General features: G+C 59.0%; 2 protein-coding genes and 1 long non-coding RNA gene across 8 annotated transcripts in view, besides 13 other annotated features; 2 read left to right on the plus strand and 1 right to left on the minus strand.

Annotated features, from left to right (window-relative positions):
• Positions 1 to 1028, plus strand: part of MYH14 (myosin heavy chain 14) — a 106919-nt gene extending 105891 nt beyond the window's left edge. For all 3 annotated transcript variants that reach the window (NM_001145809.2, NM_001077186.2, NM_024729.4), the window contains one exon: positions 128 to 1028. In NM_001145809.2, coding sequence (NP_001139281.1) covers positions 128 to 278 — 151 coding nt within the window. In that variant the 3' untranslated portion in view covers positions 279 to 1028. The remainder of the gene's footprint in view (positions 1 to 127) is intronic.
• On the minus strand, positions 2425 to 24024 carry KCNC3 (potassium voltage-gated channel subfamily C member 3). 3 transcript variants are annotated; one of them, NM_004977.3, is made up of 5 exons: positions 18701 to 19865; positions 13463 to 14570; positions 11081 to 11272; positions 10711 to 10837; positions 2425 to 6579 (listed from the first exon to the last, which is right to left on the minus strand). In NM_004977.3, the coding sequence occupies exons 1-4, from the start codon at positions 19568 to 19570 to the stop codon at positions 10734 to 10736; spliced, it is 2274 nt and encodes a 757-aa protein (NP_004968.2). In that variant the 5' UTR covers positions 19571 to 19865; the 3' UTR covers positions 2425 to 6579; positions 10711 to 10733. The 3 variants fall into 3 exon arrangements, 2 of the variants coding, with proteins under 2 accessions (NP_004968.2, NP_001359234.1); NM_001372305.1 differs by having other exon boundaries at positions 18701 to 19559; NR_110912.2 differs by lacking the exons at positions 10711 to 10837; positions 13463 to 14570; positions 18701 to 19865 and adding an exon at positions 23957 to 24024 and having other exon boundaries at positions 2425 to 5478; positions 6521 to 6579.
• Positions 3593 to 4121: an enhancer, noted in NCBI's record as "H3K4me1 hESC enhancer chr19:50816362-50816890 (GRCh37/hg19 assembly coordinates)". NCBI's record gives its function as "activates a minimal SCP1, AML or CMV promoter by ChIP-STARR-seq in primed H9 embryonic stem cells {active_cell/tissue: H9 hESC(primed)}" and the evidence as "EXISTENCE:reporter gene assay evidence [ECO:0000049][PMID:30033119]".
• Positions 6767 to 6947: a silencer, noted in NCBI's record as "fragment chr19:50819536-50819716 (GRCh37/hg19 assembly coordinates)". NCBI's record gives its function as "represses an EF-1alpha promoter that drives an FKBP-Casp9 reporter gene in an ReSE screen in phorbol 12-myristate 13-acetate-treated (for megakaryocytic differentiation) K562 erythroleukemia cells {active_cell/tissue: K562(+PMA)}" and the evidence as "EXISTENCE:reporter gene assay evidence [ECO:0000049][PMID:32094911]".
• Positions 16111 to 16210: a silencer, noted in NCBI's record as "silent region_10952". NCBI's record gives its function as "represses an Ori minimal core promoter by ATAC-STARR-seq in GM12878 lymphoblastoid cells {active_cell/tissue: GM12878}" and the evidence as "EXISTENCE:reporter gene assay evidence [ECO:0000049][PMID:35858748]".
• Positions 16221 to 16350: a silencer, noted in NCBI's record as "silent region_10953". NCBI's record gives its function as "represses an Ori minimal core promoter by ATAC-STARR-seq in GM12878 lymphoblastoid cells {active_cell/tissue: GM12878}" and the evidence as "EXISTENCE:reporter gene assay evidence [ECO:0000049][PMID:35858748]".
• Positions 16482 to 17003: an enhancer, noted in NCBI's record as "H3K4me1 hESC enhancer chr19:50829251-50829772 (GRCh37/hg19 assembly coordinates)". NCBI's record gives its function as "activates a minimal SCP1, AML or CMV promoter by ChIP-STARR-seq in naive H9 embryonic stem cells {active_cell/tissue: H9 hESC(naive)}" and the evidence as "EXISTENCE:reporter gene assay evidence [ECO:0000049][PMID:30033119]".
• Positions 18728 to 18817: a silencer, noted in NCBI's record as "silent region_10954". NCBI's record gives its function as "represses an Ori minimal core promoter by ATAC-STARR-seq in GM12878 lymphoblastoid cells {active_cell/tissue: GM12878}" and the evidence as "EXISTENCE:reporter gene assay evidence [ECO:0000049][PMID:35858748]".
• Positions 19426 to 19975: a silencer, noted in NCBI's record as "silent region_10955". NCBI's record gives its function as "represses an Ori minimal core promoter by ATAC-STARR-seq in GM12878 lymphoblastoid cells {active_cell/tissue: GM12878}" and the evidence as "EXISTENCE:reporter gene assay evidence [ECO:0000049][PMID:35858748]".
• Positions 19580 to 19874: an enhancer, noted in NCBI's record as "tiled regions #11330 and #13384 (exact overlaps); K562 Activating DNase matched - State 12:CtcfO, and HepG2 Activating DNase matched - State 12:CtcfO". NCBI's record gives its function as "activates a minimal TATA promoter and a strong SV40 promoter by Sharpr-MPRA in K562 cells, with weaker activation in HepG2 cells {active_cell/tissue: HepG2 | K562}" and the evidence as "EXISTENCE:reporter gene assay evidence [ECO:0000049][PMID:27701403]".
• Positions 20056 to 20115: a silencer, noted in NCBI's record as "silent region_10956". NCBI's record gives its function as "represses an Ori minimal core promoter by ATAC-STARR-seq in GM12878 lymphoblastoid cells {active_cell/tissue: GM12878}" and the evidence as "EXISTENCE:reporter gene assay evidence [ECO:0000049][PMID:35858748]".
• The window catches only part of LOC105372437 (uncharacterized), a 43757-nt gene continuing 39823 nt past the window's right edge, over positions 20108 to 24041 (plus strand). For both annotated transcript variants that reach the window (XR_007067299.1, XR_936023.2), the window contains exon 1: positions 20108 to 20283. This is a non-coding gene — a long non-coding RNA (uncharacterized LOC105372437). The remainder of the gene's footprint in view (positions 20284 to 24041) is intronic.
• Positions 20993 to 21172: a silencer, noted in NCBI's record as "fragment chr19:50833762-50833941 (GRCh37/hg19 assembly coordinates)". NCBI's record gives its function as "represses an EF-1alpha promoter that drives an FKBP-Casp9 reporter gene in an ReSE screen in K562 erythroleukemia cells {active_cell/tissue: K562}" and the evidence as "EXISTENCE:reporter gene assay evidence [ECO:0000049][PMID:32094911]".
• Positions 21186 to 21555: a silencer, noted in NCBI's record as "silent region_10957". NCBI's record gives its function as "represses an Ori minimal core promoter by ATAC-STARR-seq in GM12878 lymphoblastoid cells {active_cell/tissue: GM12878}" and the evidence as "EXISTENCE:reporter gene assay evidence [ECO:0000049][PMID:35858748]".
• Positions 22136 to 22185: an enhancer, noted in NCBI's record as "active region_14978". NCBI's record gives its function as "activates an Ori minimal core promoter by ATAC-STARR-seq in GM12878 lymphoblastoid cells {active_cell/tissue: GM12878}" and the evidence as "EXISTENCE:reporter gene assay evidence [ECO:0000049][PMID:35858748]".
• Positions 22496 to 22595: an enhancer, noted in NCBI's record as "active region_14979". NCBI's record gives its function as "activates an Ori minimal core promoter by ATAC-STARR-seq in GM12878 lymphoblastoid cells {active_cell/tissue: GM12878}" and the evidence as "EXISTENCE:reporter gene assay evidence [ECO:0000049][PMID:35858748]".

Here is a 24041-nt window from a genome sequence, read left to right on the forward strand (position 1 = left end):
CCCCTTATTTTGTTCTCTCTCTTCCTATCTCTCTCTCTCTCCCCCTCATCTCTCTCTCTCCTCCCCCTTTCTCCTCCCCTCCCCTCCCCTCATTTCATCTCTGTATCCTGGTCTCTCCTCCCCACAGACGCGGCCCCCTCACCTTCACCACCCGCACGGTGCGCCAGGTCTTCCGACTAGAGGAGGGCGTGGCATCCGACGAGGAGGCAGAGGAAGCACAGCCTGGGTCTGGGCCATCCCCGGAGCCTGAGGGGTCCCCACCAGCCCACCCCCAGTGACCCTACCCTGTCCCCAGATGCACTAACAGATGGGGCCCAGCCCCCTTCCTCCCTGGACCCCACGGGCCCCTGTCCCAGGAACCCCGCCCTCTGACTTCTTGCCCTTTGGAAATGGTGCAGCACTCTGGCATTTATCACCCCCACCTGGGTCCCCTGCAACCTCCCATCAAAGGATGACCCCTAAACACAGAGGAGCGGGGCAGGCAGGGAGGCAATGACTGGAGCTACCTTGCTTGTTGGGGGACTGGGTACAGTTGGCAAGCTGTGTTTCCATCAGCTCCCTGTCCTCCTTTCTTCCCTCGTTATTGATCTATAGACATTAGGAAGGGAGTGAGACGGCTCCTCCACCATCCTCAGCCAGTGCAACCCATTCCCTCTGCTTCTCTCTCTCTCTCTCTCTCTCCCTCCCTCTCCTTCCCTACCCTCTCACCATCTTTCTTGGCCTCTCTGAGGGTCTCTCTGTGCATCTTTTTAGGAATCTCGCTCTCACTCTCTACGTAGCCACTCTCCTTCCCCCATTTCTGCGTCCACCCCTGAACTCCTGAGCGACAGAAGCCCCAGGCCTCCACCAGCCTTGAACCCTTGCAAAGGGGCAGGACAAGGGGACCCCTCTCACTCCTGCTGCTGCCCATGCTCTGCCCTCCCTTCTGGTTGCTCTGAGGGTTCGGAGCTTCCCTCTGGGACTAAAGGAGTGTCCTTTACCCTCCCAGCCTCCAGGCTCTGGCAGAAATAAACTCCAACCCGACTGGACCATCTCTGTGGCTGTGTGTGTTCCTGCAGGGGGTCTCTGATGGGGCAGGATGGGCACAGGCTGCTTCAGCCTGCTAGGGCAGCAGGTCAGGCAGCCTGCTGGTTAGAATGACACCTGCGTGGGTATACAGGGACATCCTGTGGATCAGGCGCTTCATAACTCCTTTCCTCCTGACTCCAGTGTATAATGGAAATATTCCCTGCATTATACAGATGAGGGAACAGTCTCAGAGCAGCAGCATCCCTCACTCCACGCCCCCAGTGAGTGCTAGAAGGGGTGTTGCACTCGGGCCAACTCTTAAGTTTTGCAAAATAAATGACAGGCCTGCTGCAGTGGCTCATACCTGTGATCCCAGTGCTTCGGGAGGCTGAGGTGGGAGGATCACTTGAGCCCAGGGGGTGGAGGCTGCAGTGAGCTATGATTGCATCACTGCACTGTAGCATGGGTGAAGAGTGAGATCCTGTCCCAAAAGCAAAACAAAACAAAAAGACAGCCGTGGTCGTTTGTGCTGCGTGCTGTGCTAAGCACACAGTTTATCTTAACCCTTACATAGCACTACAGGTAGAGATTTCATTGCACTCCAGTGCCTAGAACAGTGTCTGGCACACAGCAGGCATTCACTCAATATTTGCTGAATAACTAAGTGATGCCCCTCCCACCCTTTTAGAGTGGTGGAAACAGGCTCAGAGAGGCTGAGTGACTTGCCCAAGGACACACAGCTACTAAGAAGTTGAAACAGTTTGAACCCAGACAGTCTGGCCTCAGAGTCAGCACATATAGAGGCTGAGCCCTCAGCCCCTGACCCCACCTTGGGGACCCAGGTCTGTCTCTCTCGTGGGAACTAGGCACCCTCGTGTGGGGGCTCACGTTCGTCAGACTGAGTCCTCAGTGACTTTTCAGTTAGAGGTGTGGATCCCCATTTTTACTATCAGGGAAACTGAGGCAGGTGCTTGCCCTAAATAAGGTGCAAGCCGTGGAGCAGATGTCACGATCACCAAAGCCCATCCTCCCCTTTTTTAAAAAATTGAGAAAGGGTCTCACTCTGTCACCCAGGCTGGAGTGCGGTGGCACAATCATAGCTCCCTGCAGCCTCGACCTCCCAGGCTCAAGCGATCCTCTCGCCTCAGCCTCCAGAGTAGCTGGGACTACAGATGCCACCACACCTGGCTAATTTTATTTTATTTTTTGTAAAGACAGGGTCTCTCTTGTGTTGCCCAGCCTGGTCTTGAACTCCTGGCCTCAAGCGATCTTCCTGCGTCCTTGGCCTCCCAAAGTGCTTGGATTACTGGCCTGAGCCACTGTGCCCAGCAATAGGGCCCCACTCTAGAAGTCCCAATCCCTCTGTGCGCCCCAGCCGCAATCAGGAGACTTTCCGAACAGGCACACAGGAGGCCATTTTTAAATGAAAAGGAAACGTTTATTTTGGTGGGGAGTGAGGGTGGGTGGGAAGGGGGCATGACACTTTTTCTTTGGGGAGAGGGGGGTGACATGCGGCAGCTTCTGCATTGGGCGGTTCATGCACCCAGGGTGGGCGTGGGGGAGGCTTGGGGAAGGGGCCACGCCGACCCCTCCCTCCCTGCCCTGCGGGTGGGCTGAGAAGACCCGCCATTAGCACCAGAGTTGGACGATTTGCAGACCTCCCCTCCCCACACTGTCTCCGAACCCCGCCCCCATCCCTGAGAGCGCCCCCTCACCACTCCCCCCACCAGCGACAGGCTAGGCCCGCCCCGCCCACATTTGAGTGAGAGAAACTTATTGCTCTGTGTGTGTGTGTGTGTGTGTTGGGGAGGGTGAGCCGCGGAGCTCAGGAAGACCCCCCGCCATTCATTCCTCCCCAATCGCCCCGCCCCCTGGCCCGTGTCCGTGCGTTCCCGGAGCGCAGGAGGGGTGCGACATGCGTGTGGGGGGCGCGTCATGCAGCGCATGCGTGTAGGTGCAGGCACCCTGGCGGCCGGGGGGAAAAGGGGGAGCCGGACTTGGAAAGAGTCCCTTTAGCTCGCTCTCTCCCTCCCCGAATCCCACACTATTGACTTGGGGGATGGGGTGGGAGGGGAGGAGAATCACGTTTTGTAGAAGTTTATCATGATTGTGGTTATTTTGAAAAGCTGAACTCAAAAGCTGGGTACGTGTGGCGGACTGGCGAGCAGGGGGAGACGTTGGGAAGAGGTCAGTACCCTTTGGAAAAGACCCTCACCCCCTTTCCCCGCCTCCTTCGGCTTTCGTGAAGGTCAGGGGAAACGGGGGGGCTTGTTAAAGAAGTTGAACCCTTTGGCAATATAATCAGTCCCCACCCCGTACCCTGGTGTCTGGAGCCCCTAGCCCTTTGCCCCGCCCCCACCAAAACCCGCCCCACCCCTCACCCCTGCTTCACCAGGGTTTAGGGTCCGAGGGAAGGATGGGGGGGACTCAAAATGCCCCTTGCATAGGAATCGTTGCATCGAGAATCGTGCTCAGTGACGCCCCCCATCCACCCTCGGGTGGGGGGTTCCTGAGGCCGTGGGAGCAGAGGGAGGGAGGTGGCTAATTCCGTGGGACCCCGGCTCCAAAAGGGGGGTCCGCTAAAGAGTCTGGGACCGGTGTGGTCTCTGGGCTTGGGGGAGGTAGCGCATCCTTGAGCCAGGATAGGAGGTGGGAAATGATTTTCCACCCGCGAGCGTGACGCGGTGAGGACCGCTGGGGAAGGGGGGCTGGGATCCCAGCCGAGCTGGGTGTTGTCGGTTCCCAATCTTCTGATACTCCAGTGTTCCTCCCTTCGGGAACAGCCTCTGTGATCATCTGTGGACTACTTTAAATGGAAACACTCTTAACCTAAATAAACCGTGTCCTAGCCAAGCAGCGATGCCTGCACTTATCGGCTTCTGTACAAAATGCGTATTAGAGACAAAACTTTTAAAACAAGTGTTTGTCCTCATACTGCCTCAAACCTTAGCACACCACCAAAGGTACAAATACAACCCTCTGGGAAACACTGGTGTCTGTGAAGAGGGTACCTTTGGGGCACCATCTCAGGGAAGAGACTCAGGGTTAGGCGTAAGACAAAGAGGGTGCTTGGGGAGGGTCTGGTTCCCTGGAATTGCAGACAGGTTGCGCCTATCTTGGAAGTTCTAGCATCAAGGGAACCTGGGCTGGACAAGTCTGTTAGGGCTTTGGGGATATGGGTGCGGAACAGGCCTGAGGCTTTGGGGGTGTCCAAGAAATGTCAGTTGTGGGAAGGATTTGGAGCATCCCAAAGGCTGAATTTGAGCTGAAAAGAGCTGGGTCAAGTCTTGGAGGTTTGAGAAGTGCTGGGACGCAGTTCAGGGAATTTGGTGGGGGTGTTTGGGGTGGCAGGAGTGGGGAGGGAGGGTGGTTCAGGGAGCCTCTGTGTGCAGAGGTTAAGTCGCAGGAGTGTGTGGGGATTGGGAGATGTGGCGTGCCAGGGTCAGTCTCAGAATTCTGGGTGCAGGTCTCATGTCCTGGGAATGGAGGGAGATAGTCGGGGAATTTCGTGTGCTAGGGCCAGATCATCCCAGGAATTCTGGGATAGGAGGTCTGAGTCCATGCAGCAAGAATAGAGGCGAGCAGGTCCCTGGGGGAAGGGGCGGATGAGAGGGTGAAATTCACCAGAGGAATTCTCCTAAAGGCTGAGGGAGCAGGTCCAAAGCCCGCCCCGCCCTCCCACCACCTGAGCTCAACTCGGCCCCGCCCTCCCGCCACCTGAGCTCAACTCCGATCTGGGGCTTGGGTAACTGTTCCTCCTTCCCCTACACTGTTTCTAGTTTCTGGTTTGTTTTCTCCTAATCAACGCACAGGGTTGGTTGTCCTCCTGGGGTGAAGGATGGGAAGGCTGGAGACCTTAAAGGCCAGCCCGACCCCCGGGAGGTGCCACCCCCTTCCCAGAGTGCCTGCCCCTCAAACCCGCGCATGCGGCCCCTGGCGGCTTATTGCTGAGGTGGACTTGGAGTGGGGGCTCCAGGTTAGGGAAGGCATGCAGTGTGTGGGGGGAGGTGCCCCAAGATGTAACTGGCATAATTTGGACTTATTTACACAAGTTGATGGCAGGGGGATGTCCTATGGCTCGTGGAGACCTGAGAAGGCTTTTTTTGGGGAGGGAAGAGTTGGGGGGACGGGCTGTGGCCCCTCTCTCCATCCTGGGGGCCCAGGTTGGGGGTGAGGGGCCCGGGGGTGTCTGCTGGCATCGTCATCTCGGTTGCATATTATTAATGACTTTTTGATTTTTTTTAAAAAAACCCTTTTCCCCACCCCCCACCCCCAGCTCCTTTGACCTTCTTCCCGGTCACCCCCGAGTCCCCCCACAGGGGGGAGGGGAGCGCTAAAGGATGGAGGGCAGGGTCGGGGGAGCGCGGCGGGCGGCCCGGGGAGAGCCAGGGGGGGTGGCAAGGGGCGCGAGGCGCAGGGACACCCCGCTCAGGCCCGCGATGCTGCTGAGGCTGCGGGATTTCTCGTAACCTGGGGGGTGGGGAGGTGTGCAGACACAGGGGGGAAGCACGAAGATGGGGTGCAGGGAAGGGTCAGACAGAGAGACCCAAGGCAGGGAGAAAGAGACAGAGAGAGAAAGAAATGGAAGGGGAGGACAACAGATACCCAGAGAGACAGAGAAGGCAAGACAGACAGAGTCAGGCAGACAGAGACACAAAAGGACGGATGACAAGAGACAGATGGACAGAGATGGACCAAGGAGATGGAGAGAGAAAGTGAACAAATCGGGGAGTCAGTCAACATCGATGAGAAAGGGGGAGACATCGGGGAGGGGGGAGAGACTCCGGATTAGGAGGCAGGTTGGTGCCCACCGAGCCTCCCCCGCCCCATTCCCACCACAGTCCACCGCCCTTCCCCCCCTCCACTGGTCCCCTCACCTGAGGCAAAAGGTGGGGGGCAGCAAGGCGGGATGGTGGGCGGCAGGGGCGTGGGGAGGGGCTGGGTGGAATGCATGTGGGAGCAGCCAGCGGAGAGGGCAGGGAACGGTGCGGCCGCCGTAGCGGGGCTGGGGGCTGACCTAGTTGTAGGGAAAGAGAGCAGGCAGGGGGTGGGGTCTGCAAGGGGGCTGAGTGGAGCGAAGCTGGCAGTGCCCTTGGGGAATCCGATGAGAACTCCAGGAGCAGTGGGGGGGGGTGGGGGGGGAGGGAGGCTCCTCCAGAAGATTCTAAGGACGGGGTCGGGGGTGGGGGGCGGTGAGGCGGAGGGCTGGGGAGAGGGACATCTTTAAAGGGTCCAAGAAGGCTCTGAGCTTCTGACGGGTGCGGGAAGGCTCTCACAGGCATCTCACAGCTAATGGGACTCAAGATCCAGCAACAGTGTGTGTGGTTTCTGCAAAGCCTGGGGCTGCCTGCAGGGTTCTGCACCCCCGCAGGGAGCTCTGTGGCTTTTCCAGGCAACGCTAAGGGAGCTGTCTGGACAAAAGGTGTCTTGATCGTAGGAGGGAGGGCTTGGGGGGAGATTTGAAGCCCAGTGTCTTGGGGACACCCCCTCCCAGCCATTCCCAATTGCTAACCTGGGGGGAAGGGGCGGGGGGGACCGAAAGTCTCGCGAGGTCTCAGGCGGTGACAAGAGCTGGGGACAGAAATACACAGAGTCACGGGGGTGGGGAGAGGATGGTCAGGGGAAACCCCCCAACACAGCCTCACTGTTGGGGGGATGGAGAAACGCCGCCGGGATCATTTCCTCCTCTCTGGTGTTTTCCGCGGGAGGGGAGCAGTGAAATGGGGGGCGGCTGAGACATCAAATATGGAAGGAGCTTCCGGGCTGGCTGGGGAGGGGGAGGGGAGGAGGAAGGATGGGAGGAGGGAGAGTTCTGGGGAGGAGTGGGAGCCAGTGATCAGGTGAGGGCAGATGTAGGAGGGAGGAGCAGGGGTGGAGGACAAGCCTGGAGGAAAGGAGGGTCTTGGGAGGACCATAGGGGACAATTAGGGAGGGAAGAAGCCTGGCGCAGTGGCTCAGACCTGTAATCCCAACACTTTGGGAGGCCAAGGCAAGCAGATCACTTGAGTCCAGGAGTTCGAGACCAGCCTGGCCAACAAAACCCCATCTCTACTAAAAATCCAAAAATTAGCCGGGTGTGGTGGCAGGCACCTGTAATTCCAGCTACTCTGGAGGCTGACGCAGGAGAGTCACTTGAACCTGGGAGGCAGAGGCTGCAGTGAACCAAGATTGCGCCACTGCACTCCAGCCTGGGCGACAGAGCGAGACCCCATTTCAAAAACAAAAACGAAAGGGTTGGGAAGGGAAGGTTGTGGTAGGAGAGACTCTTGGGGGAAGGAGCATGGGGGGCAATAGGCCAAAGGGGTCTTGTGGGAGGGAGGGTTGTGGGGCTGAAGGACAGCAAGGAAAAGGCTTGGGGAGGGCTGGAGGGGGAAGGATCCAGGGCACCAGGGATAGAAGCTTCAGCCAACCCCATCAGCTCCAGCCATGATTTGAGTTCAATGAATGGATTTTGGCATCATAGGCAAGAGAAGCAGGGACCTCCCCCACCCAGCCACCCCCACCCCAATCCTCCCTCACCCATAGGCCCACACCCTCTCCCCCTCAATCCCATAGGGGCCCCTCTAGACCTGGGGGTGGGGAACAGAGGAAGGTAAAGGACTGGGAGTGGGTGCAAGCAGGGGGAGGAGTTAGATAGGAGCAGGGAGGGGAGTGGGGGGGTAATGAGCTGGAAATGGACAATGACGGGGAGGTTACAAAAAGGAGAGGTGGGGGGGATGGAACAAGAGGAGCCAGACAGTCCCCCCTCTGGACTAGGAGCCCGGAAGCCTGGGGTCTCGGCCCTTGTGCTCTGTGGCCTGGGGTGGTGGGTTGGTCATGGCCTTCCCTGAATGTCTGTGAAACACAGGGGTTTAGGTGAGGCCATTCCTGGAAGCCCCCCAGGTTCCCCTATGGCATCTCCTTAGGCTGTGGACAGGGATCCTTTAGGATGTGTCTCTGCATTTCTAAAGAAGATTCCACAGACGGCTGTTGAATGAATGCATGATGGATCACATACCTTCAGGTGGCTTCCCTTCACGTTTAAGATAAAGTCCCGCCTCCTCACCATGGCCGAAAATCCGTCCTGATCTTTCTCCCTGGACTCCAGCAGCCCTCTCCCCTTGGCCACTGGGATCAGCCTCACTGTGCTCCTTGCTGTCCCTTGAACAAGCCAAGCTCATCCTCCACCCCCTCCCCCAGGGAAGCTCAGGGCCTGTGCACTTGCTGTTTCTTCTGCCTGCCTGGCCCTTTTCACCCTCCAGGTTCTGTGTCACCTCCTCAAAAAGTCCTTTGCAGAACTCCTTTTCTTCCCCCAGAGATGGGGTCTTACTCTGTCCCCCCAGGCTGGAGCACCATGGCACAATCATGGCTCACTGCAGCCTCCCAGACTCCTGGGCTCAGACAGTCCTCCCACCTCAGCCTCCCAAGTAGCTGGGTCTACAGGCATGCACCACCACACCTAAGTTTTTTGGTTTTGAGGAAATGGTCTTGCTCTGTTGCCCAGGCTGGTCTCAAATTTCTAGGCTCAAATGATACTCCCACCTTGGCCTCCCAAAGTGCTGGGGTTATAGGCGGCAGCCACTGTGCCCAGCCAGACCTCTTTAACTGAAGTGGCCAGAGTAATAGTCTTGTTCTTTTATCTTTATCTTAATTGCTTCTTTTCTTCTTCTTCTTCTTCTTCTTTTTTTTGAGAGGGAGTCTCACTCTATTTGTAGCCCAGGCTGGAGTGCAGTGGTGTGATCTTGGCTCACTGCAACCTCCACCTCCCGGGTTCAAGTGATTCTCCTACCCCAGCCTCCCAAGTAGCTGGGACTACAGGTGCCCACCACCACGCATGGCTAATTTTTGTATTTTTAGTAGAGATGGGGTTTCACCATGTTGGCCAGGCTGGTCTCGAACTCCTGACCTCAAGTGATCCACTGTCCTCGGCCTCCCAAAGTGCTGGGATTACAGATGTGAGCCACCCCCGCCGCCCAGCCTTAATTGCTTATTTTCTGCTTCTTCCTATGAGCGGCTGGAAACTTTTCCTGTAAAAGGCCAGATAGTAAATCTCTTTGGCTATAGGGGCTGTATAGTCTTTGTCCCAATTATTCCACTCTGCTGTCGTGGCTTAACATGGTTGTGTTCCAATAAAGCTTTGTTTACAAAAACAGATGCTGAAAGATCAGGCCCTCAGGCTGGAGTTAGTTTGCGGACCCCTTACAATCTGGAGACTGTAAACCGTGATGGCAGATTCACGCTTTGTTTTATCCCAAATTTGTAGTGCCTGCAACTGTGTTCTCAAGAATCAGTTGTGGCCATGGGTGGTGGCTCATGCCTGTAATCTTAGCACTTCGGGAGGCCAAGGCAGGAGGACTGCTTGAGCCCAGGAGTTCAAGACCAACCTGGCCAACATAGCGAGACCCCAACACTTGAATCCAGGAGGCGGAGGTTGCAGTGAGCCGAGATTGCACCATTGCACTCCAGCCCAGGTGACATAGCAAGACAGTCTCAAAAAAAAAAAAAAAAAAAAAAAGAATCAGTTGCTGAAACAGTGAATGAATGGATTGAATACATGAATGAAAGGAGCTAGGAGTTGGCTTGGATTGTTACAAGGATTAAAGAATATATGTTAAATTCCTAGCATGTGGTAGGTACTTGGTGATATTTGCTGAATGATTCGTCTACTAAATAGCACCACTGTCTTATCCCCCTCACTTCTGCATGGCCGGCAGCCCCCAGTCTGTCCCTTCTGATCCCTGACCCCGACTCTCTCGGCCTCGTCCCTTCCTCTCCATCCTCACAGCCCTGGCCCCAGCTCACGCTTCCACCTGTCACCTCAGCCTCCTAACTTCCAGCCTCCCACCTCCAGTCCATCCTCACAAGACCCCAGAGCTGCCCCTCCCAGCTCACCTGCCTCCTCCCCAAGCCCCTAGACAAGGTGGCAGCCTCTCAGCCCGGTGCCTGCCTCATATCTACCTGAGAATCCTCCCTCCACAGTCTAGTCTCCTAAGCTCTGTCCTGCGGTTCCCTTCAACCGTTCCTGTCGATGGGATTTCTTCCTCTGCGTGTGGTCAGAACTCCTGCTCAACCTTAAGGCCCCACTGCAGATATCGAGTCTTCCCTGATGCCCGGCCCCATCCCCTGGGAGTTTCTAGTGTTCCTCTCACTGTCTGTGCTCCCTCCATTTTAGCATACATCGCCTCAAACCATGACTTTCTAGGTCCGTGTCTGCCTCCTGCTCCAAAGCGGAAGCTCCTGGGGGCATGGTTTTTGTTCACGGTTGAACTCCCCATGCCCAGTACCTGGGATGCGTGGGTGCTGTCTAAGCGCTGGCTGAATTCACAGGGGCATGGACGGATGGCTGAGCCTTTCTCTCCCCATTCTGCACCCAGAAGTGTTCTGGGTATGCCCTCCGTTTTCCTGATTGAATTTTTAAAAAAAACCCTAGGACCAAGGAGGGAGGCAGAGATGTTGATGGGGGTGAGGATGGGGTCGGTCGTGAGGGCAGGTGCAGTGTGGGAGGCAGGGTTGAGTTAGTTCGGGGGTTAGTGAGGAGCAGGGTGAGTCCTGGGTAGGTGGGTGTGGGGTCAGTGTCAGGAGCTGGGGGTTAACTGGGTGCAGCTGCTTGCAGTGAGGGGGCCGAAGTCTCGGTCAGTGGGGGCTGCATGTTCTCAGAAGGGTTAGTCAGGCAGGAGTGGGGAGTCTGGGGGTCCGGGGGATCAGAGGGTGGGGGCTACTTACCCCGGGGGGAGGGGGTTCGTCCACTAGGGGGATATCCAGGCCGCGGCGTTGGCGTTGAGGTCGGGCAAGAAGCTTGGGGGGCCTGGCTTACGCCAGTCTTGGGGGGGCAGTGGGGGAGCACCAGTGGCTGGGGGTGGGGGAAGAGGCCAGAGAGTTGGGGGGAATGGACATGGAATAAAGACAGGTGAAGGGTCAGTGGTGAGGAAACTTGGGGCGGGGGTACAGGGAAGATCTGGGAGGGAGGCAGTTTGGGGCCAAGGGAAGGGGGAAGGGAAGTCCACCGCCTCCTCCCCCATCCCCCTCTCCTCCCTCCCCTGGGCAGGGGAGAGAGAGGGAGGGTCCCAGGGGATCAGTAGGGGGGGCACCTCACCTTTTCGGATGGAGCCATCAGGGGAAGGGGCATAGTCGGTGAGGAGGAAGCAGGCTCGGTCCCGGCTATAGCGGCCACGGCTTCCAGGCGTGATGGGGCTCTTGTCTTCCGGGGACATGGCAGGCTGGTCAATGGCTGGGCAGTCCTCGTGGGCAAGCGCAGCTGCTGCCGGATCCCCATTGGGGCGAGGATCTGCATCCCAAGGGGGTCAGACAGAGAGACAAAGGAGAGAGTGAGGTGCGGTGAACACGCGGTGGGGCAAGATGTCTGCGAGGAGCAGATGCTGGGATGGTCGGCGGATGTTTGGCACTGGAAGTGGAGATTCAAGGGCAGGGTGATGGGAAGGAGTGGCCAGGAGGGTGGCAGGGGGCACAGCTGGGAGAGGGTATCAAGGGGGCGCGGCTGGGGGGTGATCATGGGGGTTGAGTGCTGGGAAGGGCGACTGCAGTTGGGAAGGGTGGTCTGGACAGGGAGTTGGACAGATTGTGGTGGTGCAGGGAGGTGTTGAGAGCTGGGATGTGGTGGTGGTGCCAGGTGTGGGGTGCCAGGAAGGGTAGGACTGGGGTGGGATGCTGTTTAAAGATATGGTCTGGAGCTGGCCACATTGGCTCATGCCTATAATCCCAGCACTTTGTGAGGCTGAGGTGGGAGAATTGCTTGAGGCCATGAGTTTGAGACCAGCCCTGGCAACATAGCAAAACTCCATCTCTACAAAAAATAGAAAAATTAGCTGGGTATAGTAGTACACGCCTATAGTCCCAGCTACTCTGCAGGCTGAGGCAGGAGGATCACTTGAAACTGGGAGGTCGGCCTGCAGTGAGCCATAATAGTTTCACTGCTTCAGCCTGGGTGATAGAGTGAGACCCTGTCTCCAAAAAAGATAAAAGATAAAAGATGCCAGGCGTGGTGGCTTACGCCTGTAATCCCAGCACTTTGGGAGGCCGAGGTGGGTAGATCACTTAAGGTCAGGAGTTCGAGACCAGCCTGGCCAACATGGTGAAACCCCGTCTCTACTAAAAATACAAAAATTAGCTGGGCACAGTGGCGGGCGCCTGTAATCCCAGCTACTCCGGAGGCTGAGGTAGGTGAATCACTTGAACCCGGGAGGCGGAGGTTGCAGTGAGCCAAGATGTTTCCACTGCACTCCGGCCTGGGAGACAGAGTGAGACTCCGTCTTGGAATAAGAAAAAAAAAAGAGAGAGATGGTTGCGGATGAAGCAAGCTGGGTGTCGGGGAGAAGATGAGGCAGTGTTGGGGGGTGGTTGGCTGGAGCAAACTTCAGGGGGCTTGGCTGGGGTAGGGGTAGCGGGTGGAGGCATGGCTGGAGAGGATGTGGCAAGCTAGGAAGTGGCTGTTCAGGGAAGAGTGCTGGGCTCTGGGAAGGGCACCAAGGGGAAGGGCTAGGTTAGGTGAGAGATGGGAGGTGGGACGTGGGGGTCCCCTAGGCTCTGACTCCAGCTATTTTTAACTGGTGTGAAACTGGGTCAGCGGCTGAGGGAGCAAGATGGGGGCCAAGTGGCCCAGCTCCCTTTCTTGACCTACTTAAGGCGGGGCAGTGCAGGGGGGGGCCACCAGCCTCTCCTTCCTCCTAGACTCCCAAGCCACTGCCTCTGAGGCATAGACACCCCCTGGGGGAGGAACACACACAGAAGCACAGGTAACTTTCTTCTCCCTCATCTCTCGCTTGTCTCTTCCTCTGAGCAGCACCTCTCTGGATCTCTCTTTGGGACCCTCCCAGGCTGCCCACAGCAAAGCCGACTGACCAGGCCCTGGTTTCCGTTCTGCCCTGGGGGATCTGCCCTGGCCTGACTCTCCGTTTTGAAGTCTGTCTGCCTCTTGGGCTTGCTGTCATTAGAACCCAAACTCTCTGCCGCTGACCGCCCCCACCTCCGCCCAAAATCTACATCCCATCTCTCTCTGGTCTCCATGACAATCTCTCGGTTTCTGACTCCCCGCCTCAGACCCTATCGGCTTCAGTCTCTCTTCCCTCAGGGCTGTCTCCCGGATGCTCAGATGCTGCTACGTTCCCTGGGGTTCTGCCTCGGGTCTGCCTGTGATTCCTGTGAGACCCTCTTTCTGTGTCTCTCTGAGCCCCACGCTCCTCCGGGTCCCTCTCTCTGCACAGCTGATGACACTGCCTCTGCCTCGCCAGCCCCTCTGAATATCTTGCAAATCTGTTTCTCCCCAAAACTCTTTCCCATGAAACCTATGTCTCTGTGTGATTATCTGTGCCTCCTTCTTCGCCTGAGCTCCTGCTGTTGGTTTTTTTCTCCCTCACCTCTTCGACGCCAACCACCCCAGGTTCTCTGAACCCCGGCAGCTACCTCCCCAGTCCTCCCCGGGTCTCCACCTGTGCCCCCGATCCCTGACGCCCAGGCTCACCTGCCCGGTTGATCTCAATCACCTCCTCCTGAGCCAACGGGCAAGGCTCGCCGGGGGCTGGCAGAGGAGGCAGCCCCATGATCCCCAGCCCACCCGCTCCCCCCCTGAGCAGCCCGGGGTGCGTGTGGGGCCCCGCTGGGTAGGCCCCGGCCACAGTCACCCCCATGGAGGGTGGGGTGATGGGTGGCGGCGGGCTGATGCCCCCGCTGCCGTGGTGCGGGTGGGGCGGGGGTGGCGGGGGTGGGTCAGGCTTGCAGTAGTTGGGCGAGCCCGGTTGCGGGGGCCGGGGGATGTGTTTGTTCTTCTTCTTGGGCAGCTTCTGCTTGGCCATGGCCAGCGAATAGTACATGCCAAAGTTGTTGACAATGACGGGCACAGGCATGGCGATGGTCAGCACCCCCGCCAGGGCACACAGCGCCCCGACCAGCATCCCCGACCACGTCTTGGGGTACATGTCTCCATAGCCCAGGGTCGTCATGGTGACCACAGCCCACCAGAAGCCAATGGGGATGTTCTTGAAGTAGGTGTGGTTGGAGCCCAGGATGTCATCGGGGTCGGCGCCAATGCGCTCAGCGTAGTAAATCATGGTGGCGAAGATGAGCACCCCCAGGGCCAGGAAGATGATGAGCAGCAGGAACTCGTTGGTGCTGGCGCGGAGCGTGTGTCCCAGCACGCGCAGCCCCACGAAGTGCCGGGTCAGCTTGAAGATGCGCAGGATGCGGACGAAGCGGACCACCCGCAGGAAGCCCAGCACGTCTTTGGCGGCCTTGGAGCTGAGGCCCGAGAGGCCCACCTCGAGATAGAAGGGCAGGATGGCCACACAGTCGATGATGTTGAGGCTGCTTTTAAGAAACTCCACCTTGTCTGGGCAGAAGGTGATGCGCATGAGGAACTCGAAGGTGAACCAGACCACGCACACCCCCTCCACGTAGGTCAGGAAGGGCTCCGTCTCCACCTCCACGTTGGTGATGTTCTCCGGAGGTGCCCCGGGGATCGGGGAGGCCTGGGTCACCGTCTTGTTGCTAATATGGATGAAGCCCTCATGGGTTTCCAGGCAGAAGGTGGTGATGGAGATGAGGATGAAGAAGAGGGAGGCGAAGGCCACATACTGCAGGGCAGGGAGGGAGAGAGAGGGGGAGAGGTGACCTAGGCATCAGGTTGGCCATAACATCCAGAAGACCCTTCCAGTGCCCCCTTCCCCAGCCTCCTGGGCCCAAACTCTGGGCAAAATCCAGGTGTCTCAGCCCTGTGGCTCCATCACTTCCAGAATCCCATTCTCCCCTCTAAAGCTAGCAAAAAGGGAGAGAAAGGAACAGAGGCAGTTGGAGAAGAGCTGGCCCCAGCAGACGCAGCAGATGGGCAGCTTCTTTCCTTGGAAACATTTCTGGCCCCTTGCTGTTTCCTAGACCACCTCCCCCCACCCTCCTGTTCCCTGTGTCCTATTTCAGGGCCCCCCAGCAGGGTCCACGGGTTCTGCTGTGGGACGGGAGCCGCCAGGCCTAAGATCACACATCCTGTGTGTCTCGGAGGCTTTAGGGCTCAGCTTGGAGCTGGGCAGACGGGAAGGGAGAAGGCGGGCAGGGAGGCAGAATCGTGAGGTGGTTAAGAGTCGGCGAGCCTGGGCATGAATCTGGCTTTTAACCTGTCAAAACTGGGCAAGGAGACTGAGCTTTCTGAACCAGAAGTTTGTAGTGGGATTGTTGTGAGGATTAAATTAGATGAGCGTACGAAGGACTTGGCTCCAAACACAGTGCTTGGAGCAGTGCCTGGAACACAGTAAGAAGACCTGAGCTGTTGTTAGGGTATGCAGGCAGCAGTTAGTTGGGGGGCAAGGTCAAGGCCTCACCCAGAGAGGACAGGGCAGTGGTGGTGCCACAGAGGGGAGGTGGGGGTCCGGGCCCTTAAGGGAGGAGGGGTTGAAGGGTTAAGCCTGCAAAAATGGAAGAGGAGATAAAAGAGGAGAGTCAGGCAGGGTTTAGGGCCCTGAAGAGGAAGGAGAGTCACTGGCCTGGACATTGTGGGAAAAGGCAGAGCCAGGGCCAAAGAGAAGTTAGGGCATTTGCCAAAGGGGCAGAGAATGAGGGGTGAAGGGTCCTGAGCCATTTCAAGATGGGGGATAACCAGAGTCCTGCCACACAGTGATGTGGGTTTTGATGAAGGCCTAGAAGAGGAGGGAGTGGGGTCAGGGTCTTGGAGAAGGAAAGCAATGGGCCAGGCCCCTAGAGATGTCATGGGCTTTATCAGATATGCAGAGGGGTGGGAGGGGAGAGGAGTGCATTGGAGAGGGAAGGAAGACAGGTGTTATAGTAAAGAGAGGGTTTTAATCCTGCGGGTAGTGGAGGAGGGAGGGCATGGGGAGTTTTGCTATTAATCAGGGGCACAGAGCACGGGGAGGCCACTGCTGGACCACAGAGAGGACCTTGGACTTTGGGGTGGGCCAAGGGCCAGCACTGTCCCTCTGTGCACCCCCCTTCCTCCACAGGGGTTGGGCTCTGGGCTTGACTTCACTGAGGTGCAGAGCTGGGAAGTAGTGGGTGGAGAGTTTCGGGGCCACAGAGAGGACCCTGGACGTTGGGGTGGGCTGGGGGCCGGCGCAGGTCCTCTCTGAACTCCCCCCCCACCCCCACCTTCGCTTCTCTGCAGTGGTTTAAGAGGCCAGAGGCCTTCGCAGAGCGCATGCCTAGTTCCCCGCCCCCTCCGAGCCGGGCGCGCGGCGCTAGCTGCGGCACCGCAGTGGGGGCGGGCCAGCCGGGCCGGGGGGCGGGGCGCACGGCGGCCAGTACCGCGGACAGCTCCCCCGCCGCAGTGCGCAGCCGCAGCGGCTAGGGGCCGTCTTAACCCCTTCCGGGCCGGAGCCTATTCAACGCGCAGCCGCAGTGTTGCTGCTTTCCGGCGGGAGGCCAAGGGCCAAGAGTCTAATTAACTCCTTCCCTCCCAGGGCACAGGGAAAGGTGGGCACCCGCCGCAGTGCGCAGCTGCAGAGGCTGGACGGCGTCGGGCTGGTTTAACCCCTTACTCCAGAGTGTGTCAAAAGCAGAAGGGGTAGGAGGGCATGGAGTCTCTGTAAGAAGGAAAGGAGTGATTACGAGGAAGGGGGCGGGGGCAGGGGGCTGTAGGGTCGGACCCTCCACTTTGCTTTGGCCTCAGCTCCCAACTCTCTCAAGCCATATCACTGGGAGGCTGGAAAGGGCTCGGCACACCTTGGACACCCAAAACACATTGGCGGAGTAAATGAGTATCTCCCGTAGCTGTCCCGAACACCTAGCCTGACCATCACAGAAGAACTCTAACTTCATCCCGCTCCTCATCTCAGCACCCTTCAATGGGGTCACAGGAGAGAAGGGCGCCCCGGCCATGGGGGAAGGAGCCGCTCAGTGTCTTGAGGGGGCATCCAGGGCCATGTCCCTTCCGCACCTCCTCTTCCCCACCTCCCCCCATCCAACCCCAAATCTCGCCAACTCAGCGCTTTCTGGGGACCAAACTTTATGCGGTGGCTCCAGGCGTCCCCCCGCTCCCTCCCCCGGCGCGAATGCGGCACTGCGGCTCCGCGTCCTTCCCGGCTCAGGACGCGGCACGGTGGGGGGAGGGGGCCAAGACCTGCTCCTCTGTGTTTGGGTACCCAGGAGCCCAGGAGGGGGTCTTGGGATCGCTCTTATTTCCCCCATTTCCAATTGCCCCCATTTTGCACTGCCCCCCTTTTCCACCACATTCTCCCTCCGGGGTCCCCGGGACAGGGAGGAAGTTAGTAGGAGGAAATGGTTCAGGAGAGAACCCAGGGGGAGGGTAGTCATTTAGCCTAGGAAGTTATGGATGCTTGAGGAAAGTTTTCTGGGAGCGATGGAGAGAGCTTTGGGGAAAATCTAGAATTTGGAGAGAGAGAGAAGGCTCTTTGGTTCACTTTGATGGAGGGGGACAGACTGAGGGGCTAGGTTCTGGGTTTTGCACGGCGGGGGGGGAGGTTCGAGAAAGGAAGAGGGCAGGTGGAAGGAATCCCAGGGCAAGGTAGAAAGAATTGTAAGTTATTTTGAGATGAAAGTTTTAGGGCTGATGACTTGAGGGGCCTCCCAGGGTTTGAGGTTAGAAAAAGTTCTAGAGCAGGAGGGAAAGTCACTTAGACTAGGAAACGGGCTGTGGGGGCTTTGGATGGGGGGAGTCCCAGGGATAGAGAGTGCACTGTGCAGTTAAAATGATGGAGAGGAGAAGCTGCGAGGATCTATGGAGGAGGAAGAACAATTCTGGAGGACATGTGAGGGTTCTGGAGAGGAAAGGCATATGATGGGGGCATGGGATGCTTCTGGAGGCACTGAGGAGGAGTGTGAAAGGCTTGGGGGAAGTCTGGAGCTTTATGGGGAAAGTCCTTGAGATGGGAGTTGGCGTGGAGGTTGAAGAGTGTTAAACACAGAGTGAACACAGAGGGGGCCTGGAGGTTCCAACGGAGAAGATGCCCCAAGACTCAGTATTGCAGTGAGGGGGAGGTGAAAATGTCCAGGCAAGAACAAGTGGAGGTTTAGAGGGGTCCAGAAGGCTGTGAGGTTGGGGTGGGGGAGTTTTCTGAGACTCTGAGAGCAGAAGATACTGCAGGAAGGGAGTGGAAAAAATAATCAGAAGATTCAAACTTGGAGAGAGAGGTCTTCTGGGAGACGGGCCACGGGGTGAATCGGGGAGGTGCTGGGAGAGACTGAGAGTTGAATAGGGGGCCCCAGAGAGTCTGGAGAAGGCAGGGAAAGTGGGGGTCAGGGCTCACAGGGCCTAGGAGAATTTGAGGGCTGAGAAGGGATGTCTTCTGAGGGGCTGGGGAAGGTCCAAGAAACCAAGGGCTGGACGGTGACCAAGAGTAGTGAGAAGAGATTTGATGGGGCCCAGGAGACATGAGGGTTGGGGAGGGTCTCAGAGGAGCCCAGGAAAGGTGGGGACCGGGTTGTTCAGAGAAGCACGGGAGATTCACGGTCTGGAGGAAGTGTCTAAGCGTCTAGGGTGGCCTTGGCGGGGGAGGGGGAACTTTGGAGGGGTCTGGAAGAGCCCGAAGGTTGGAGATCCGTCTTTGGAGGATCTGGGGGATGGCTGCGAGAGGGGGGTGTGTTCGGAGGAGCCCAGGAGACTCAGGATTGGGGAAGAGGCTTCTAGGAGACTGAGAAGCCTAGAGGGACCCGGAGGGTTGGAGCTGGGGCGCTCCTGGGAGACTGGGGGCGCCTGGAGAGGCGGGGGTGGGGTGGATGGGGGCCCCGAGAGCGCGCTCACCCTGGCAGCCCGCGACGAGTAGGGGTCCTCGAAGAGCGCCCACACGCGGGGCTGCCAGCGGCGCCACCATGTGCCGCCCGCGCCGCCCGCGCCCCCTGGCGGCCCCCCGGCGCCGCCGCCCGCGTCCTGGAAGCAGAGGCGCTTGAGCTCGCCGCCCGCTCCGTCCAGGCCGCCGCCGCCCGCGCCCGCCTCGTCGTCCAGGCCTCCGTCGTGGGCGCCTGCGGCGTTGGCGGCGTTGGCGGCGCCCGCGGGGTCGGGCGCCTCGAAGGAGTCGAGCGCCTCCTCAGCGTCGCGATGCTGCCGGTAGGTCATCCAGCAGCAGGCCTCCACGTCGGTCTCGTCGATGCCCCAGAAGCCGAGCTCCTCCTCAAACAGGGGCCCGCACACGTCGGCTGGGCAGTGCAGCTTGCCGGTGCGGTAGTAGTTGAGCACGTACGCGAAGACTCCCGGGTGCCGGTCAAAGAAGAACTCGTCGGCGCCCGGGTCGTAGTCGAAGCGTGCCGCCGCCTCGGGCTCCGTCAGGCCGGCCAGCCGCGTCCCCGGCAGGGTGCGCAGCGTCGAGCGGTACGTCTCATGGCGCACGCCGCCCACGTTGATCACGATCTTGCCGCTGTCGCCACCGCCGCCGCCGTGCCGCCCCATGGCCGCCGCCGGCAGCCCGGGGCATGGCTCGGCGCGCCGGTCCCCGGGCCCGCGGGGTGCCGGGGGGCCCGCCGGGGACGCGGCGGGGCCGGGCTGCGCAGGCTGCTGCTGCTGCGGCGGCAGCGGTGGCGGCGGCGGGGACTCGGGCGGCTGCGGCGGTGGCGCCGGCTGCTGCTTGCTGGCCCCCTGGCGCCCGCGGAAGGACGAGACGCAGACTGAGCTCAGCATTGGACGGGGGGCGGGGCGGGAGGGGCGGGGACGCAGGGGCGGGGACACGGGGGGAGAGACCGACGGGATTGGGTGGGAGGAGGAGCGAGGTAGCGGGGGCGTGGCTTAGGGGAGAGGAACCAAACTGATTGGCCTGGGGGAGGTGGGGCGGGGCTGTGGCTGGGAGGAGTGGGGCGGGCACTCTAACGCGACCCAGCTGGACGAGTCGGGGCCGCCAATGAGACGGAGCGATTGGCTCTTTCTAAGAGAGCAGGGAGGAGGGGCGGGGCGGGGCGTCAAGGGAGGCGGGACCGGTTACTACTAATTGTGTTCGGCAGCACTGGTAGCCAGGGGAAGGCGGGGCTAGATACGATAGAGAGAGACCTTACTGAACTGAAAAAAGTGCGGGCGGGGTAGAGGGAGGAGGGGACACATCCAAGCTATTTAAAGACGCCCGACTGGCCTGGAGGGGCGGGGCCACCATGAGAGAGGCCGTCCTGATTGGGCTGAGAAAGGGGCGGAGAGAAACAAAACAGATCGCACGCCCTCACCTAAAACACCGCTAGGCAGGACCTGGTGGGGAGGAGCATTGCTTGGAAGAGACAGGGCCGCAGAAAGTAGAAACGGTCCAGATGAGACTGCATGGGGCGGGAACTAGAGATGGAGGACTTTCCCGCGCAAGGGGGACAGGCTGGACTGAAAGAGGACACGGGAAGAACAAAGACTTAGACTCGGTGAGAAGGTGTTGAAACTTGAGAGAGTCCTGGAAACCCGAGAGGGTCTGGATAGGCCTAAGGGAGGGAGCGGGGCTGAGGCTCCAAGGCGGGCCTGGTTAGTCGGGGCTGGGCCCGGAGAATGAGTGTCCGGATGGATGAGTGGTACTGAGGAAGGTGAGTGGGGTCGACAAATAGAAAACGTCTTGAGGCAGGGCGCAGTGGCTCACGCCTGTAACGCCAGCACTTTGCGAGGCTGAGGTGGGTGGATCATTTGAGGTCAGGAGTTCGAGACCAGCCCGGCCAAAATGGTGAAGCCCCGCCTCTACTAAAAATACAAAAATTAGTCGGGCGTGGTTGTGGGTGCCTGTAGTCCCAGCTAGTCGGGAGGTTGAGGCAGGAGAATCGCTTGAACCTGGGAAGTAGAGGTTGCAATGAGTCGAGATCGCACCACTCCACTCCAGCCTGGGCGACAGAGCGAGACTCTGTGTCAAAAAATAAATAAATAAAAGAAAAAGAAAACGTCTTGAATGGGCGGTAGGAAAGAGAGACTAAGGAAGGAGCGGGGCTTGAGGGTCTTGAAAGCAACCAGGGTAGGCGAGGGCAGGGCAGGGCTAAGGGAGGGTAGAGGAACGGGAGAGGTGGATCCCAGGGGAACAATGAGACTACAAAGAGTACAAAGCTACTGGGCTGGATGGAGGGGAGGGACCTGGAACGGGGAGTCTTCGGGATCAGAAGACCTGGGAGAGGGCACTGCCTAAAGGTCACAGGGTCTCAAAGGGCGAGGCGAGAACTTCTAACGAACGCTACACCGCGGCGGACTGCAGATTGGAGGACCGAGGGTAGATGAGGACTGGTGAGGAGGGGGCACGCAAGGAGGCAGAGAGGACGGGAGAGGGGAGAGGCCAAAGCGCCAGGAAGCACCGTCAAGACTGAGGCAATATAGGCAGGACCGATAAAAAATGGGGTGGGCTAGGAGTCTCAGAGGTCGGGTTCTGGGGAAGAATGGAGTGAGGGGCGGGGCCAGAAAAAGGGGACCGCCTCGGAGCGGGCCGTCCCCGCCCCCTGGGCGGTCGTAGGCTCCGAGAGGCAGAGCGCAGGCTCAGGGGGCTGGGGCGGGGCCAGCGGCTGCGGCTGGGGCTGCGGAGGGAGGAGGCGGCGCCTGCGGGAGCGAAGGGGGCGGGTCAGGGGGCTGCGGGCGCCCTCGGGCAGCACAGTTTCTGGCCCGCCGCTTCCTGCTGCAGGTGCGGCGGCTGATTCGTATCGCCTCCCAACCCCATCCCACCCCCGCTCCCGTTTCTGGGTTTCTTGGCGTCTCTTTTTCTCCCTTCTTGAGTATTTGTGCCGCCGTCTCTGTTCCCACCCCTCTGAGTCTCCGACCCCTCGTTTGTAAATCTGCCCTCCTGGGTCTCTGATTCTGTCCCCCTCCTTCTGAGTCTTTGCTCCTCTTCTCTCTAGGCCTCAGTCTCTCCTCCCTGGTGTCTCAGTCCCCGCCCCCCCACCCCAGCTCCCCCGAGTCTCTTTCTCTTGGTTTCTGTACCATTTTATCAGGGGTGTGCCTCTCTGTCTGGGGCTCTGTACCGCACTCCCTGGGTCTTGTGTCCCTGTCCTCTACTCCCTCCCCGCAACCCGCTTTGTCCTGCCTCCTCTCTGGGTCTCTGCCCTTTCATCTGAGTCTGTCTCCTCCTTGCTCTCTGACAACCTCTTTCCCCTCCCCCTTCTTCTTCCCCTTCTCCCCATCTCTGGTGTATTTCCCCCTCCTTCTTCCCCTTCTCCCCATCTCTGGTGTATTTCCCCCTCCTTCTTCCCCTTCTCCCCATCTCTGGTGTATTTCCCCCTCCTTCTTCCCCTTCTCCCCATCTCTGGTGTATTTCCCCCTCTTCCGTCTCTTTCCCTCCTCTGTCTCTGCTCTTTCTCTTGCTGGCTCTCTGTTCTTCTCTCTCTCCCTCTAAGTTTCTGCCTCTTCACTTTCTCTATGTCCCCTCCCTGAGTCTCTATTCCTCCTATGTTTCACCTTCTTCTGGGTCTCTCTCTTTCTAGGTCTCTGTCTCCACTTCCTGGGGACCCTGTCCCCCTCTCTCTGGGTCTCCGTTCCTTTTTCTCAGACCCCCCATCACCCTCTCTAACCCCCGTCCTAGCTGGGACTGCGTCACTGCAGAGAGAGTTGCAGAAGTGGGGCCTGTCCTGCAGCCCAGGAAGGTCGTTGCCCTCACTCCCCAGACCCAGGGCTCTCCATTGCACCCAATCCATCATGTCCTTCAGCTTCTGATGGAATCCAAGAGGGCACAGAAAAGACATAGGTACTTCCTACCCCTTCCCCGAATTCTGGTGCACCCCCAGGCAGAAGCAGAGAATCCTGAGGTGAGGGACTGGGCTGGGGCTGGATGAGGCTCCTGGGCAATTGGGGGTGGGGTGGTGGAGGCAGGAGCAAGGGCTGGGTAGGCACTATGGGCTAGGTAAGGACCTCGGTCGCCATCCTCCTCCACACTCCCCCCTCAACCCTGCTTTTCCCTTCTGCTTTTCACAGCAGCCAGGCACGGTATCAAGTGGCTAAATCAGCGTTTTTTTGCAGAGGTCAGAAGTGTGGGAGAAGGTGGGGGCTGTGGGGAAAAGGGGCTGGAATAAGGAGGAATGTGCGATGCGACTCAGGATTAGAGGCCATGGGAGGGGAAGAGGCAGCGGGCCGGGAGTAGCAGGCTGGTCCGTCCACATTCCATCAGGCCCTGGGAAACTTGGATGCCAGCACTCCCTCATGGCCCTCCACAGACCCCACCAGGGTCTATGGGAGGATTTGTGAGCCTGGAGTCTCCACCCACCCATTAGAGAGGAGGGGGCTTCTGGAAGCTTCATGAGGGCTCCAAATACTGGACACTCAGCTATGTTCACAGACCAGGAGGAAGTAGACTCGACTCTTGACTAGGGACACCAGGAGGGGAGAGGCCAACGTCTGTCTCGTTTTCAGTTCCTTTCCCCACCCCTGCTCCTCCCAATCCATCCGTTCCCAGGCCCTCAAGACACAAAATTCCTGAAAGCTCCAACTCCCATCTACGTCATCTTCGGCGTCCCCTGATAACCCTCCCTCCCCCATTACCCCAGGCCCTGGAATTGGGGAAGGGTCTTCCCTCCCTGACTTCTACGACCCCTTCCTTGTTCCTCTGCCCCCATTCCCACCCGGTTCCATTCGGAGCCTTGGTCTCTGGACACCAAAGGTGAAAATGTGAGGACTCTCTGCCTACGATCCTTCGTCCCCTAAAACCCTCCAAGTACCTTGGCCCCGAAAGCTCAGAGTCGAGGGGAATCTCCCCGCTATAATCTTTGGGTCCCTGGATCCCAAGTCCCCCGTCTCCAAAACTAGGATTCGGGCTGTCTTACCGCCCCCGGACCCTGAGCCTTCGCCCCCTCCCCCGTACTCACCCCAAGTCGAGGCGAGGTGGGGATGGGGGAATCCGGGGCTCGAGATGGGGGGAGGGGTGACCCAGCCCCGGCAGCTCTGGGCAGCAAGAGGCTGCAGAGGGGGGAGTGACATCACCGCCGGAGGAGGGGCAGCACCGCTCCCCCAACCCAGGGGCTTCAAGCTCCGCCTTTATGGCGGACCCCGGGGTCCTGGAATGCCAAGGCAGAGAGGAGAAACAGGAGACGAGGTCCGAGGGAACGGTATCCCCGCCCCTTAGAACAGGAACTGGTAAACCCTTACCAATTACAGCCACCCCCGACTGCCACCTGTGGCTGCCGTCGCGACCTGTCGCCTCCCACGCATGTTGTGGCTGCGCCCGCCCCCG

This window comes from Homo sapiens, chromosome 19 (assembly GCF_000001405.40).
Source record: "Homo sapiens chromosome 19, GRCh38.p14 Primary Assembly".
NCBI classification, from domain to species: Eukaryota; Metazoa; Chordata; class Mammalia; order Primates; family Hominidae; genus Homo; species Homo sapiens.